General features: G+C 41.5%; 1 long non-coding RNA gene across 5 annotated transcripts in view; it reads left to right on the plus strand.

Moving 5' to 3' along the window:
• The window catches only part of BDNF-AS (BDNF antisense RNA), a 191,320-nt gene that overhangs the window by 131,348 nt on the left and 43,781 nt on the right, over nt 1–16,191 (plus strand). For all 5 annotated transcript variants that reach the window (NR_033312.1, NR_033315.1, NR_033313.1 and 2 more), the window contains one exon: nt 1,646–1,806. This is a non-coding gene — a long non-coding RNA (BDNF antisense RNA). The remainder of the gene's footprint in view (nt 1–1,645; nt 1,807–16,191) is intronic.

Genomic DNA, 16,191 nt, shown 5'->3' on the forward strand with positions numbered 1-16,191 from the left:
TACAGTTATGGGACGTCTCCCCAGGACTGTTTCTCTATTAAATCCATGCCCATTGGGTCGGGAGTGCCCTGTCAGTAGAGAGAGTACCAGAGTCAACTCCCAGTCCAAGTGAACTAGGTGGCTGCTTGGGCTGGCCCCTGGATCCATTGCTGGAGGGGGCTACTGAACCACGGGCAGGTAGCCACAAGGGCAATCCTGGATGAGCCTCGAAATTTGTAACCACCCAATGGATTCACCTTGCCCACTGCTTAGACAGAGCTGATTTATTAAGACAGGGGAATTGCAATAGAGAAAGAGTAATTCAGCCAGAGCCAGCTGTGCAGGAGACTGGAGTTTTATTATTACTCAAATCAGTCTCCCCAAAAACTCGGGGATCAGAGTTTTCAAGGATAATTTGGTGGGTAGGGGGCCAGTGAATCAGGAGTGCTGATTGGTTGGCTCAGGGATGAAATAACAGGGAGTCAAAGCTCTTCTCTTATGCTGAGTCAGTTCCTGGGTGGAGACCACAGAACTGGTTGGCAGGTCCAGGTGGGGCCGTCCAGTTGGTAGAAATACAGAAACCTGAAAAGACATCTCAAAAGGCTGATGTTACCTTTAAGAGTAACTGGGGAAGTTGCAAATCTTATGACCTCCGGAATAATGGCTGGTAATATCTAGAATTCCAGCCCCTCTCATTCTAACTTGGTGGCTGGTGGCCTTTCCTTCATTTTATAAGAACAGTTTAGTTTTGGGGAAGGGCTATTATTTAAACTATAAACTAAATTCCTTCCCAAGGTTAGTTCAGCCTACGCCCAGGAATGGACAAGGACAGTTTAGAGGTTGGAAGCAAGATGGAGTTGGTTATGTCTGATATCTTTCACTGTCATAATTTCCTTAGTTATCATTTTGCAAAAGCGGTTTCGGGAAGGCCATTGTTTGCACAGTATTTTCATACTCTTAATTTGTAGCTGCATATGTTTGCATGTCTTACTTTTTAAGTGGCAGGAGTTTTGAGTCTAGGGTGTGTCTTTCAAGTTTCTTTACAGAACTTAGAAATAATGGATGTTTAATAAACGCTAGATGTACAGATAACATTCAAGCTTTCTATGCATCTGTCTTTCATGTTTTTGTTGGGATGTTTTTCAACAGTCTGGAGACCTCTTAACAATGGAGTGAAAGGCTTTGAAAAATCTCTAAAAGCCTGTATAAATGCAAAAGTATTTTAAATTTACAGGAGGTGCTGTTACTACTAATACTGTGCAAATTTATGAGTAGTTGTGGAAATAATAACTCTATGAGCAAAAATGCTTCTATTTCTGTTTTGTTCTTTGCATTGTGCAAATATAGCCTATATAAATCAAATTTCTACATTTCTGCATCCTGTGTGCCTTAAGACATATGTTGAGATATCAAAAGAAGAAAAAAACATATAACAACCTGGAATCACAAAAGGCTGAAGCTTAAAGATCATTATGTTCAGCCCTGCCATTGTACAGACGAGGAGACTACGTCTAACGGACACAAAATGACTGGCCTAAGGTCACACAGCAAAATAGTAATCTTTTTTCTGTCATTATTCGTTCTCTGAAATATGTGGGTGTGTTTAGTATTGTTGACATTTCCTTGGAAAAAGAACAATTTTTAAAATGAAATCTTTTCTTTCCAGGGCTAGAGCAATGTATCTTAGGCTCACTTAAGGAAGCTGTAGAGATGAGCCCAAGGAGGGAAACCAGAAGAGCCCCCCAGGCTCACCAGTTGTTTGTTGGCTCCCTACAAACATGTCATTCAAGTGGCTAATCTTACAACAGCACAAATTCATCTAACCAGGTGAGTTTCTTCGAGTCACTTCAAATAATTATTTCTTGAGCATCTACTTCATGCCAATGGTGTGCTAGATTCTATAAGAAAATAAATGTGAATTACTCACAGATAAAAATAAATAACAATCAGGCTGCGTACAGTGGCTCATGCCTGTAATCCCAGCACTTTGAGAGGCCGAGTGGGGTGTATCACTGGAGGTCGGGAGTTCAAGACCAGCTTGACCAACATGGTGAAACCCCATCGCTACTGAAAATGCAAAAATTAAGTGGGCATGGTGGCACACACTTGCAATCCCAGCTACTCAGGAGGCTAAGGCATGAGAAACGCTTGAATCCGGGAGGCAGAGGTTGCAATGAGCCAAGATCGCACCATTGCACTCCAGCCTGGGCAACAGAGTGAGACTCCATCTCAATAAATGAATAAATAAATAACAATCAAGAGAATAGAATCAATATAGCCCAGTGGACAAGACCATGGATTATGGAGCCAGACTAGCTACTTACTAGCAGAATGATTAATTTTGAGCAAGACCCTTAAGCTCTTTGGGAGTCAGGTTCTTCATGTATAAAGTGTGGCTTACTTAATAGTTTCTGTGAAGTTGTGAATTTAACAAATATCAACCTCCTTGCCAAAGCTAACTAATTTGCTAATCACTGATTTTGCAAAGCGTGTTGTGGAGATGTGGCTGGACAGGTTTGCCATCAGAGTCGATATACCGTTGTATTAAAAACAAGATAAAAAAGCTGCCAAGTTCTTTCGTGAGTGGTTGGTTAGTCTGAAATCTTTGCAAGATGCTGATGCTCAAGCTGTTGACCTACTCATTGCCTACTTTAACAACTGTCAGAGAAACATGATGTGGGGTAAGGAGGTGCTTTTTAAAAATCATTCATAGACTTCTGTAAAATGCAAGATAAAGTTATTTTAACAGTGGAAAAAAAACAAATATCAGGTGCTTTCAGGGTCCAACATATAATAAGTGCTATAGTTAACAGTTATTTTACATTTATTATCTCCCTGGGTCTCACCCTAAGCCTATGAAGTAGGTAGCATTCACCTTTTATAGAGGAGTAAACTGAAGTTAAGAGGTCAAGTAGCCTGCTTAGGTCACCCTGCAACCAGCAACAGAGCCAAAAGTCAAGCCCAGGTCTGTCTGACAGCCAGGCCTGGCCTCATAAACACTGTTCTGTGTGCTGTCCTCAGACACAAACCTTGCTCTCCAGAAAGTCATATTCTAGAAGCCTTATTGCAGGGCTGAAAACACTAAGTGCCACTAGAGAGATAGAAATAATGTGGATGGGGATTTCACAACAGGGCCTGTGGGAAATTGTTTCCAGCTTAGAAAATCAGAGGGAGTTTTAAGGAAGAAATGGAATTTGAGTCTTGAATGATTTATTTGTGCAGAAGCAGGAGTGAGAAAGGACAAACAAAAAACCAGGGATGAGAGGGGTGAGGTATAGTTTGGAAACAGGCAATAGATGGTTCAATAAAAGTGGACCCTGGGATATGTGCAGGAGAGCAGGGAAAGGTGAGGCCTGCAACCCTCCCTAGGTGAAGTCAGATCACAAGGGGCCTCAAGTACCAAGCTAAAGAGTGTGCATCTAAAATTGAAGGTCCTTAAATAGCTTTTTAAAAGACAAATGGGCGAAAAGACCAAATGGGAAAAAGGAAAAAATAAGACCTAAGACTTTGAGACATGGTGATTATTTGTCAGTAAGAATTGGCGGAATATGGGCTTATTAACCTAGTTAGTTCTCTTCTGAAAAAGCCACATAGGTTTTACAGAAAAAAAAGTTGATTTTGCAAACAACATACTTGTTCATTTGAAGAGTTGAAGCATTTTTTCTGAAATGTGATATAATTTTTATATTTAAGTTAAAATGCAATTATAGGTATTTTTCCTTGATTGGATAAAATAGATCCAGAATTTAAATTTTATTTGTGAATTGTTCCCCTCCTTCCCTCCCCCTCTCCCTTCCTTCCGTCCGCTTGCATTTGTGTTTGGTTCACTCCTCTCTCTTAGACAAAAGGTATTTTCTCATTTCTTAATCCCAATTTCTCCTTCATGTTTTGAGTGCTGTTTTATGTTTCAATTTCATATTTATTGTAATATGAACCCTCAGCCACTAGGACATCCAACATCCCTAGAATGGCAGAGTTGAAATGAACAGTAGAGATGATCTATTCTAACATTCATCTTACAGCTGAGACAATGAAGGCTCAGAGAAAGAACATGACTTTTTCAAAAACACAGAGTGAGTTCAAGGCAGAAGTGGGACTTGGACTTGTTTTCTGGCTCCTTTCTAGTGCTCATTTCAGTGCATCATCTGAGCACATGTGTAGGCAGGGCTCTGGGCCTTTACCTTCTTGAGAATGGTTTAGGGAGTCTCAATAGACTTCTCATGTACTGCTGCAGGACTTAGAATCTATGAAGTATTTAGAGCTGGAGGGAACCTTAAGATCCTCAAATTCTGCATCGTCCTGGCTATGGTCTAAATGGTCCCTCCAAAATTCATGTGTTGAAAAGAATTCCCCGTGCAACAGTGTTGGGAGGTGGGGCCTTTTTGGGAGATGTTTAGGTAAACAGATTAATGCCACTATAAAAGGGCTTGATGAGAGTTTGGCCCATTTTCACTCTCCCATCCCTTCTTCGATGTGAGAACACAGTGTCCTCCCATCTGAAAAATGCAGCATCAAGGTGCCATCTTGTAAACAGAGAGCAGCCCTCACCAGACAGCTGAACCTGCTGGTGCCATGATCTTGGACCTCCCAGCCTCCAGAACAGTCAGAAATAAATTTCCATTCTTTATAAATTACCCAGTCTCAGCAATTCTGTTAAAACAATACAAATGGGTGAAGAAACTCCTTTTGCAGAGGAGAAGACCAAAGCTGAAAGAAGTGAGGGGAGACCTGCTTAGCTTATGTGGCTAGAGACGTACAGAGCAAGGTCAGGGATTTCAATCTGCTGACTCGAGGCCCATGTTTTCACTCTGTACATGCTCATCCTTATTTTCAAAGTCTCCAGTTCAAAAATTCATCTCTTTGCAGTCACATATACTGAAGGGAATTCTGCTTCACAATGCCTGGAGGAGCTTCAAGTGGAATGTGTCCAAACCAGGAGGAAACAATTCCCTTGGTTCTCCTCTGGATGTCAGTGCAGGTTGGTGTGCAGTGAAGGTAGGGGTGTGGAAAGCTGGCCAATTCCACTTTACAAGTTCTTTATTCTCTCATACCCGGGAAGTACCACAGCTACTGAATTCTTGGTGAAACCAGAACCTAAAACAGTAAAAGTGGAGTTGGGAACCTGGGGAAGCAATACTCAACCAAGCCAAAACTAAGATTGCATATTTACATAGAATGGCTGTAGCCATGTTGTTCTTCACACTCACAAAGTGAACACACAGCTCAAGGCTCAGTGGCCAGACTATGTGGTGGGGGTGGGATGTGGCAAGATGTGCATGCATGTGAAAGAACAGTGTAAACTCTAAAACATCTACAACAGGGAAAAGCAAAAAGAAATCCGTATTTCTCCCTCTGATTATCTTGGTCTCTCTCTTCTGTCATGGATTAGACCCAGAGAAGAATACTAGTCCAAATCTCCAGCAACTGTTCATCATTTTTAACCTTTCCTGCCTGGTAAAATAACCTGGGAGCTTTGAAAATAATATTGATGCCTGAGCTTCACTCCCAGAGATTCTGATTTACCTGATGCAGGGATGCAGGATGGGGTCTACAATTCATAATTTTTTTAAAACTCCCCAGATGCCTAATGTGCAACTAGGGTGGAGAATTACTCAATTAAACTATCAAGTTGCTTTCCCTGACTGCTGGGATCCCTTCCTTGGCTGCTGCAAACAATGTTGTAGCCACTTAGGGCTAAATACACTTATAATGTGGCCTTACACTGCATTCATTCAATTTAATAGACACTTGTTGACTGCTTTCCGGTACATGGCTAGGTGAACTGCAGTGGGTACACAGGTGAATGAAAATGTCCACTGCTCTAGAAGAGTTTATACAAATAACTGCAGCTTAGTAAGGGAGCAATTATTTTACCCAAGAAAATGCTAAAGGCTTCATGCAATTGAACCTTTAACATATAGAAACATTTTTTATATTCATAGAAAATTCATTTGTTAAGAGAAACCTGCCTAATCGAAAATTTGCTTTGATAAGTCTACCATGGTATACAAACAAGCCGTGGACTAGTGCCTAGGTTTGAAAAGTGAAAGCTTCTCTGCATAATAGAGTGAGAGCAGGTGATCAGCACTAAATGCTGTGTAGGGAAATGGTCAAAAGGACACTTAATGACTTTTAGAGATGGGATCTCAATCTGTCACCCAGGCTGGAGTGTAATGGCATGATCTTAGCTCACTGCAGCCTCAAACTCGTGGGCTCAAGTGACCCTCTCGCTTCAGCCTCCTGAGTAACTGGGACTACAGGCACATGCCACCACACCCAGCTATATATATATATTTTTAATTTTTTTGTAGAGACAGGGTCTCGCTATGTTGCCCAGGCTGTTCTCAAACTTCAGGTCTCAAGCAATCATTTTGCTTCAGCCTGCCAACGTGTTGAGATTACAGGCCTGAGCCTCCATGCCCAGCCATAAGGCCATTTTTAATAAGAACTGTTAAAAATAAAATGTCAATTATGGAATGTAAACTTCATTTTCACATTTATTAAGAAGTCTTCCATAAAATACACATTGCTCATTATTCAGTGAGAGTGAATTGTGTATGAAAAATTCGAAGAAGTGCTAAATCCCACCTTGAGATGGCAGAAGAAAACCAGAGGGTATACATGGGGCAACTGCCTGATGTGTGGGTTTGCTAGATTTTACAATTAAAATTGCAGGACACCCAGTGAAATTTGAATTTAAATTAATACAAATCATTTTTTACTATAAATATGTTCCATAGAGTATTTGCACACACTTATATTAAACAATTATTCATTTGGTTTGATGTTTTTTCTGGCAGCCCTATTATGGGTTATGGTTGGGTAGGGATTTTATAATCAGAGAGGGAGACAGGGAATGGACAAAGATGCAGAGGAGGTAGAGTGTAAGGTACATTTAGGGAATAGGGAGAAGTAGGGTTGGAGTGCACTGTCAAGTGTGTTGGAAGTTGTCTGGACATTAAAGTAGGAAAATAAAGCTACATCCTATAAGGCCATAATGCCAATATCACCAATTTGTTACTCTGTCAGCAATGGATAGCCCTTTGATATATTAAAGGGAGGGAAATCATATGCTCTATTCATCCATTCATCTATCCATCCATCCATCCATCCATCCACATTAATGTATCTGTATCAATATGGCACACTTGAAAAGCATATGTCCTCTGAATTTATATTCTAGTTCTGCTATATGCTCACTGAGTGATCTTCTGCAAATTACTGCCTCTCTCAGCCTCAGTTACCTGAAAAATAGGCATAATTAGATCTACATCTTACATCTCTCATCAGGTTTATCACAGTGACATACAATTGCCAAGCAGGCAAGTCCACCTTGAATGCCTTTTTGACTCGTTTGAGGGTTCCAATACTGTGTGTGCCAACTTAGACCATTATTTCCCAGAAACATTCCTCTTAGTCTATCGATTTCATTCCCTTGCAATGCACTGGCCTTTACACCTGCATAGTCAACAGTGATTAAAGACAGCATTTCTGTCTCTCCTGCCACATCGGTACATTTGTGTATAGGTAGGTGTTGCTATTTGTGTAACGTATTACGAAGTGTTTTCATGTTCATTATTGTCATTGAACCTTCAGAGAGATCATTCTGCTATCATGGGAGGATGTTGGAAGTGGGTTGGGGTAGAGAGATTGGGGGTAGAGAGATGGGTTGGAAGGCTGCTGTGATAGCCCAGGCGAGATGCAATGAAGACCTGAACCAGAGTAGTGGAAAGGTGAGCTGAAAGTGAAAGGAATGGATGAAAACAAACGGCACAGAAATAAAAACAAAGGGAAGTTCTGACACCCGCGTTTTGGTCTCCTTGACATTGCTTCCATTTCCTCTAGGGACATGTCCTGGATAAGGGTGAAACTGGATGCTCCTTGGCAGTTTCAGATGTCACCACCCCTAACTTTCCATTGGATAAAAGAAGGCCCAAAATAGCCTCTGGTCCCATAGGCTAGTGATTACTGGGACTCAGATTCCTGTCCTGAAAACACGGGGAAGAAGCCAGGCATTTGCCCACTTACCCTCTCACCAGCTGACCCAGGGCATTAGCACCCTGGTGCCTGCTGACGCAGAGCATCTGCCAAATTCGATTAGCCCCGTGGCCTGGCTAAGCTGGGCATGTCCTGCACTGCTTCTAAAACAAGCCCTCCAGGAAGGGGCTGCGAGACTCGGAGATGTTTTTTCCTACTGTCAAGCAGGAATCACTGCTTGGCAGTTTGAGGTAGGGATGGGGAGGAGATAAAAATATTAGAAGATGCAGAAGATAAAACCAAATACTAATCTAACAGTCACTTCTGAAAACAGAGAAAACACTCCAAACAGTCAACATGGATTGTTTTTTTTTCTCTTTGCTTCAACTTAGTAAAGCCCTTTGGAGTCCAGCAGAATGAGCCAAGCAGTGTGAAATGTGTGGAAACATGTTGTTGGCTCAGAGCAGGTTGCTTGGAGGCGGGACAGGTGACGACCTGCCTGTGAGAAGCCCATAGAGCTCTCTTCTCCTCACCACTGGGTCAGTTGATCCTCATCTGTAGATGAGAGATCCTCATCTGTAGACTCAGCCCTCCTGCAGCCATTAGTGCCTCTCCTGTTTCTAATCACAGGGAATCTAAAGAAATTTAAGGAGCCTCGTTCAGGAGCTCAGTGTTAGATTGAGCTTTCTGGTGGGTCCATTCTGACTCTGAATGTTGATTTTACTATCTAAAATCATTATTCTTGTTTCTATGGCTAGGGTCCTACTTGTATTCAATTTCCTATAGAACTAGCGTCCTGTCTTGTTAATTCCCAGTCATTAGAATCCCACACCCAAGTTTGGGACCAGGTTAGGGCTCTGAGTCCCATGGGCAGAAATCTCTGATACCTCTGACTCCTGTTTACCTAGAGGAAGAAGAATCTGGAGCAGCAGTTCTACCCTGGCTGGTCAACAAAACCACTGGAAAGATCTTTAAGAAATACAGATGCCGGGCGCGGTGGCTCACGCCTGTAATCCCAGCACTTTGGGAGGCCGAGGTGGGTGGATCATGAGGTCAGGAGATCGAGACCATCCTGGCTAACAAGGTGAAACACCGTCTCTACTAAAAATACAAAAAATTAGCCGGGCGCGGTGGCGGGCGCCTGTAGTCCCAGCTACTCGGGAGGCTGAGGCAGGAGAATGGCGTGAACCCGGGAAGCGGAGCTTGCAGTGAGCCGAGATTGCGCCACTGCAGTCCGCAGTCCGGCCTGGGCGACAGAGCGAGACTCCGTCTCAAAAAAAAAAAAAAAAAAAAAAGAAATACAGATGCCTGGGCCCCACCCCCAGAGATTCTGATTTACCTCGTCTGGGTATAGATATATTTTTTAAATTCCCTATGTGATTCAAATGTACAGGTCAGGATTGAGAGCCACCAGTCTGGTGGTTAAAATTCGAGACCTTGGGATTATATAGATGTGGCTTCAAATCTGACTATATCATTTATTAACTGTATGACCTTGGGCAAGTTATTTAGGCTACTGTGTTGTCAGTTTTCTTGTCTCTCAAATTACATCTATCTCATGATTATTTTAGATAGCATGGAAAGCATTTAGCATGGCATCTGGTACAAAATAGGGATGTAACAGTATTGCCTATTGCCAAACACTTGTCCTTGTGTTCAACCAATTGCTAGGGTAATCTTACCCTTTACTTGATTTACATATGATTCTTTGCATATGGATCGTCTGTCTGAAACCCATCGATAGAACTCTTTATACTCATTATAGAACATTCTTCACCCTTTCGCATCTAACTTCTGCTGAACTCAAGGGACACATCAGTCCTCAGCACCTTGACTTTACTACCTGATCTACCCCATCACCAATGGGATCTGTTCTTAAGAAAGTGGGAAAGCCAAGATAGCAAACTGAGTTCATCTTTTGGTTCAATTCAATTCAGTTGGCAGTGGAGCATGACCTTGACATGACTTGTGAGGCTGAGGTGCAGCAAAGACTTACAAGTGATGTCAGCCATACATGGAAGAATGGGGGAGAGAAGGCTGGCGCTGGTGGCCAGGGCTATTGCAGACCCAGCAGGCCTGAGTCATTATCCTTTCTCTTCTCCACCAATCCCAAACACAAAATAACTGTAAAGTATTGACCTAGGGAGGATTGGGCACTCCTGGGTCTTGCAAGTGGTTCCACAACACTCTGCCTATCTGCCCAATCCCAGCAATTCACAGGAAGCTCATCAGATTGTCCATGAGGTTAAAGGGGTGACAACTGCCCCATATCCAAGTATTGGAAATAGCTGACATGAAGCTCTAGAAACCCTACATTCAGGTTTTTCAGCACAGAGTAGGGTTGTATCCACTTTTGGAAAGGCCTCCATGCAATGAAAGACTGTTTGCATGTTAACCTTAAAAGATCAATCCAGGACTCTTCTGAAAGCTAAAAATTCTAAGCACCACTGGTGGTCTCCCTTTTTGAAGGAAGCCAAATCCCTTGGACATGTAACTAGCTATTCCACCCCCCTCCCCACAACCACGGCCTTTTTTTTTTTTTTCCTTCTGTATGTTCTCAATGCCCTTTGCACTTTTAAATTTTTCAGTGGTTTAAGAGTGGCTCCAGATCCAGGCTGCCCTGCTACTCACAAGTGTTGCAGCCTTTGCCAACTTAATTGAATTCTCTGTGCCTTAGTTTTTTTCATCTCTAAAATGGGAGTACTAAAACTACCACCTAGTTTATGGATTGTTGTGCAGTGAGAAAATCTGCATAAGATGCCTTGAACACTGCCTGCTTATAGTAAGTACTAGTCACTATAATTGTGCAATGGGTTAAATGTATGTCAAGGACATGGGGCAGAAGTTGAGGTAGGATTTTCCTGATGTGCCATGTCTATTTTTAGAAATGTGACTGTGGCCCCTTGTTTCTTTCAGACTATGTGAGTTCATCCATTTCACCCTGGCTTCAGTCATTGCCATTCAGCTGGGATAGACACTTAGGAATAATGGGCTTCATTTGGAATGTACAGTCTAGAAAAACACCCTTTATTGTAGTATATCTCTTCCATTTGCTTGAGTGTATGTAGTGGCCACAGTTTAACTGCCAAGCAGTATTATTGCTAGTGGGTAAACAAGAGTTATCTCTCTGAGTCTTCCAGAAAAGACAAAGTGACCCTGGATGCTAATGGCACAGATGAGATGGGATCTCTTCCAGGAGTCTGAATATGAGAAAAGAGTCTCTGAAGTGTGTACTAGATGAGCCCAGCTTATTACCAGTCAGCAGAGTGACTTCCAAGAGTTTGTAAACATTTTCTGAGGCTTTCTCATGGGTCTGTAACTTTCCTAAGTGCTTTATATGTATTACCTCATTTAATTGTCACAAAATCCCATGAGGTAAGTGGGAATATTTTTACCTGTCCTTTGCAGGTGAGGAACTGAGGCACAGAGAAGTTAAGTGACTTGCCTACAGTCACACAGCTCTTGTAGCAGAGTTGGGATTCAGACTCCACTCTTTACTATATTATGTGCCCCCTGAGTGGTGAGATGTTGGATCCCAGAGGAAGCAGAGCTCTGAGGTCATCAGGAAGGAAAGCAGGGCATGAAGTGGGAGCAGAGGTGGATTGAACAAAAACATAGATTTCTCAGAGATTCAGGCACAAAGGACTCAGGGCCAGGAATAAACCAAAGTTGGATTGCTGAAATGAGGAGTTTCAAACACTGGCATGCCAGTGAGGTTTGTCTCCTAAGCTAGCCAAAGCTCCACTCAGAATGACCTCTTTACCATTCTGAAATATCTGCTGTTTCTCTGAGGAAATCTGCTGCTGAATGTGGTGTTGCTGTGATTTGTTATGAGATACTTTTGTTCTCAAGGCCATCCTCTCAGGAGGAGGAACTATCCAGAGTACTCGGGAGGTGGTGGTGAAACAGATTGGGAACCGTACATCCTTGGTGAATTTATAAAGCCCCAAAGAACAGAGATGCAAACCCATTTCATTCAAAGAGCTCTGTTAACAGTGACTCTACAGGATGCTAATCCAGCAGTTTCATGCAGAGTTTCCTGACCCTGCAACTTGGCAAAACACAAGGAATCTCTCCTTGCCAGGCACCATGTAATACAGTAAGAATGAGTGACATAAAACAAAGGTAAATACATTGCCTGGCTTTGAAAGTAAGGTTAGACCCTGGTAGAAAATTTGCATCTTGAGGAATATATGGGCACCTTCCCCAAGGTATTTTCTGCCTGCTTGTCAGACAGTTGGTAATATTTTTATAGTTGCATATGAAGTAGAAACCTTCCTTTGGTCACATCCTCCCCAACCGCCACACTAACCCAAGGTGCCTCCTGCTTTTAATCTTGTGGCAAGTACCATGATATAAGGACACCAGCTATGGAGGGAGGCAGGAGATGCACAGTGAATTATCTCAGAATGCTTCCCAGCCTTTAAGTGCTTCAGAAACCTCTTTAATCTCTTTTTATGGCAAATAATGAAGTAGGAAGAATGAAATTGTAATATTAAAACTGAAATTTACCTCCAAGACCATCCTCTTGGGAGATCCCCCAAGTTCACCCTCTTCCTCTGACAGTTGAGGGCATGGAGGTTCAGATACCGGAAAGGGTTGGCCAACCTGATGATTGAACTACCAAGATACCTGGCTCCCAAGGTAGGCTTGTTAGAATTCAGGCTTCTGTATTGCCTAATGGATGGGTAATACATTTGGACACCCTCCCCTCCATCCTAGAAATAGAAAAATCTTCTAATGCAATTTGCCTTGTAAAATGTGCAGGAGTGTGCACACACACATACACATACACACAGAGATGGGAATAGCTATGTTCAGGTCCTCATTTCCAGAAACCAGTTCCTACAATATAGAAAAGCTTTGCCACAAAGTCTGAGGAAGCCCTTTGTATTTATAGTCTGGTCATTCTAGAGGTGTGAACCTAGATTTCCTCAGCTGGATGTTAATAGCTGATTAATTCAGGATGCTGATTTAATTTGTGACCTATAAAACGCTATTTCACAGAGAATGGGCTGTGTTGGCATGTGCAGAGACCAGCTCCCCAGATGGAATAATCTTTTCCTTATTAATTTGCTGCATGTTGCTTCTCATTTCTCACAGTCGTTCCAAATGTGTTACAAACGACTACGTGCTCTGGGTCCTGAATCCACTACTGCTGTTGCTTTGAAAGAAAAAAAAATTGTTGACTATGAAGGGCACTGAGCTTTCCTGGCTCACATTTGCATGCTCACTTTCAAACCATCAGTGCACTCTTCTCTTACAACACTAAGCCTTGCTCCACCTGCGAGCACCCATCACTTTTGTGTTGTTTAGGAAATGCAAACATAGATAGTTTGATGTTTTCAGGGCCAAGCAAATAGGTAGTGACATGATTGGGATCAGATCTACAGTTTCAAATTCTTGGGTTGTGCTATCTTCCTATTATCTAGAACATGTGAAAGGCTGTTTAATCCCCTTAGTCCAATGATCCTCAAATTTGAGTGGGCACAGAATCACCTAGAGGGGTTGTTAAAACTCAGACTGTTGTACTCTACCCCCAGAGCTTCTTATTTAGTAAGTCTAGGATGGGAACTGAGAGTCTGCATTTGTAAAAAGTTCCCAGAGATGCAGATGCTGGTTGCAGAACACACTTTGAGATCATTCCATGAGTCTAACTGGAGGAGAGTATGGGTACTGTTATCTCCAAGTAAACACTGCTTGGTATCTGTTGGAGCAGGTCTCTGCTGGGTAAGGTTTCTATTTTATGTCTTTTTCCTCTTTCCTTCCTGATATGCACCAAATCCCAGTTGAGCAACTATTTTTTAAATGTTAGGGCTCAATGGAGAATGCAGCTTCACTAAATAAATTTAAATGTGTACTGCAGTACTTGACATGGATTTTTTCAAATTGTGAGCACTTAAGCCAGACAAAAATATTTCCCCTGGGTTCAGCCATTCTATGCAGACCAGCCCCTGGTTTCTAAGGAACCATTTGAAATAGAGTACAGTACCAAAGTGCAGAGCTGCAGAAGCATCTTTATGTCCTTTCTAAATGTAGAACATACACCTCAAGCTCAGGATTTCAACTAACACTTTTTGGTCATTTACAGGCTTGAGACAAGTCCTGTCATTAACTACAACATTATGTGTGAGGCTTTTTTCAGGACAGATAAGCTTATTTTTCTAAAGGAAAGGACTTTTGTTTTTCCAGATATAAAATAGCAGCTCACACTTAAATGCAAAGGTCTTGTTTATTGTTTGTGTGGTGAGGTTTAATTGGAAGGCCTGCTTTTTACAATTCCATGCTACTGACATTACCAAGCACACAGGATTGTTGTTAGAAAAGCAAATGCCAGGCTGGGGAGCTCCTAATCTGGTGGTCTGTGCCTTGTAAATAATTAGGGTGTGGGGGTGAGGTAAAGGCCTATGGAAATCCTACAGAGTGCCACAGAAATGGGTCTTCTCAATTATGATAATGTGTAAGATCACAGTGCTTTTTCTGTTAATATTTAAACATAGTCTTCAAGTAATTTACTGCAAATAATCACATATTAAAAAGCAAGGAGTTTGCTTTTTTTTCCCTACAAATAATTCAAATGGTGGCCAGAATTGAGAGAATGGATGATCATACTCACAAGATTGGGGATAGACATGCAGGCAGTGTGTTTATTAGAAGGAATGTCCATAAACATGGGCTGGTTTGGAGTGGCTTCACCTACTCTAGTTGCTAAGTTTAGCTATTAGGTGGGGAGTTCACCAACCACCAGTTAGTTCAATGTAACCAACAAAAGTCAGATTCCCAACCATTACCCCCGCTTGTCACCAAACCAAGCAGCCAACCAACCTTTAAAACCACAGTTTAAAAACCCACAGCTAAAAGGATGGCCTATGTTCCATAAAATACTAATTTTGCTGGTCAACATTCTGAGGTTGGATCAAATCTGTGAATGGCTTTTTGCAAGCTAAATGCTTCATCTTCCTAAATTTATGTACACGTATATTGTTTCTTATCCCAATTAACAGTCTTTATTTAACAATGGCTTATCAAAATATGCAGCCATTTCTACTTTAACTTGTAGACCAGGCTTGATGTTAGAACATGATGGAGACAAGTATGTTTTACAATAACCTTAAACCTTAACACTATTGGGAGTGCTGGCTGAACTGAGGCAATGCCTGAAGCCATTTGTTGCAGTTCAAAAAGTGTTTGACATTTTATCCAGATCTAGAAGTCACTTAAATGAATGAGGAACAATTTAACACTGACCCATTCTAAGACTTAGTTCAGATTCTCATTTCGAACTGTCTTATTATTCACTGAATTAGTACAGCTCATAAAAAGATTTCATAGACACAGCTAATGACCACAGAGGCTTATCAGTATGGTGAAAAACAACAGATCAAAGCAATGATCTGAGTTATTTCCTGGCATCTTAGTAATTAAACAAGTTTAACTGCTTACTCAATGAATGCAGTACACATTGGTTACTCCTATTAACTCCAAGTAGGATAATTTAGTAGATGTCTCTATTTTGTTTTTTTCTCCAACCTCATCTTCTAATGAAAACTTTCAGTCATGTTTACCAAACTCGTTTAACTTCAAGTAATTTGGATGTCATGTTTAATTTTTACTTTTTTTACTCAACCATTTAAAAAATATTTTAGTCCTCTGACTATGAAAATTGGTCAAGCCTGAAGTTTATCAAAGTTCTAAGTCCATGGCTGGGCTGTCATGACTGGCAGTCAAGGGCTTCTCTTAGAGTACTTTTCAAGTTCACTGGACAGATTAGGATAGAGTAATTCATCTCATTCGATCTGTTTTTCCATATACACAACACAAGTCAATGTTTGTTATGACTTTCCTGATCCTTATTTATAAGACAATACAAGAGGAAACCATGTGTGTATGTTTAGAAATAGAAATGATACATTGCACAGATATAGTTCACCACGTTATGGGATGGGTTGTCAGTGTTCAAATGGGGAGGCTGAAGAGTAAGAACAGATGCTTTTTTTCCTTAATGGCCCCTTCTCTGATTTAAAATCCTTCCATTTATTTCCCTAAGATTTAGTGATAACTTTAAACACTTTAACTAAATTACCCAGCGGCTTGGCAGCCATCACGGAGGCAAATCCTTTTAGAAATCCTAGCAATCTGTTAGATTGTGGGTACTATGATATAAAATCTGTGTGCTCCACGTACAAAAATTAAATCAGTGCTATGGATACAAATACATACTGCAAATGGCACCAC

This window comes from Homo sapiens, chromosome 11, assembly GCF_000001405.40.
Source record: "Homo sapiens chromosome 11, GRCh38.p14 Primary Assembly".
Lineage (NCBI taxonomy): Eukaryota > Metazoa > Chordata > Mammalia > Primates > Hominidae > Homo > Homo sapiens.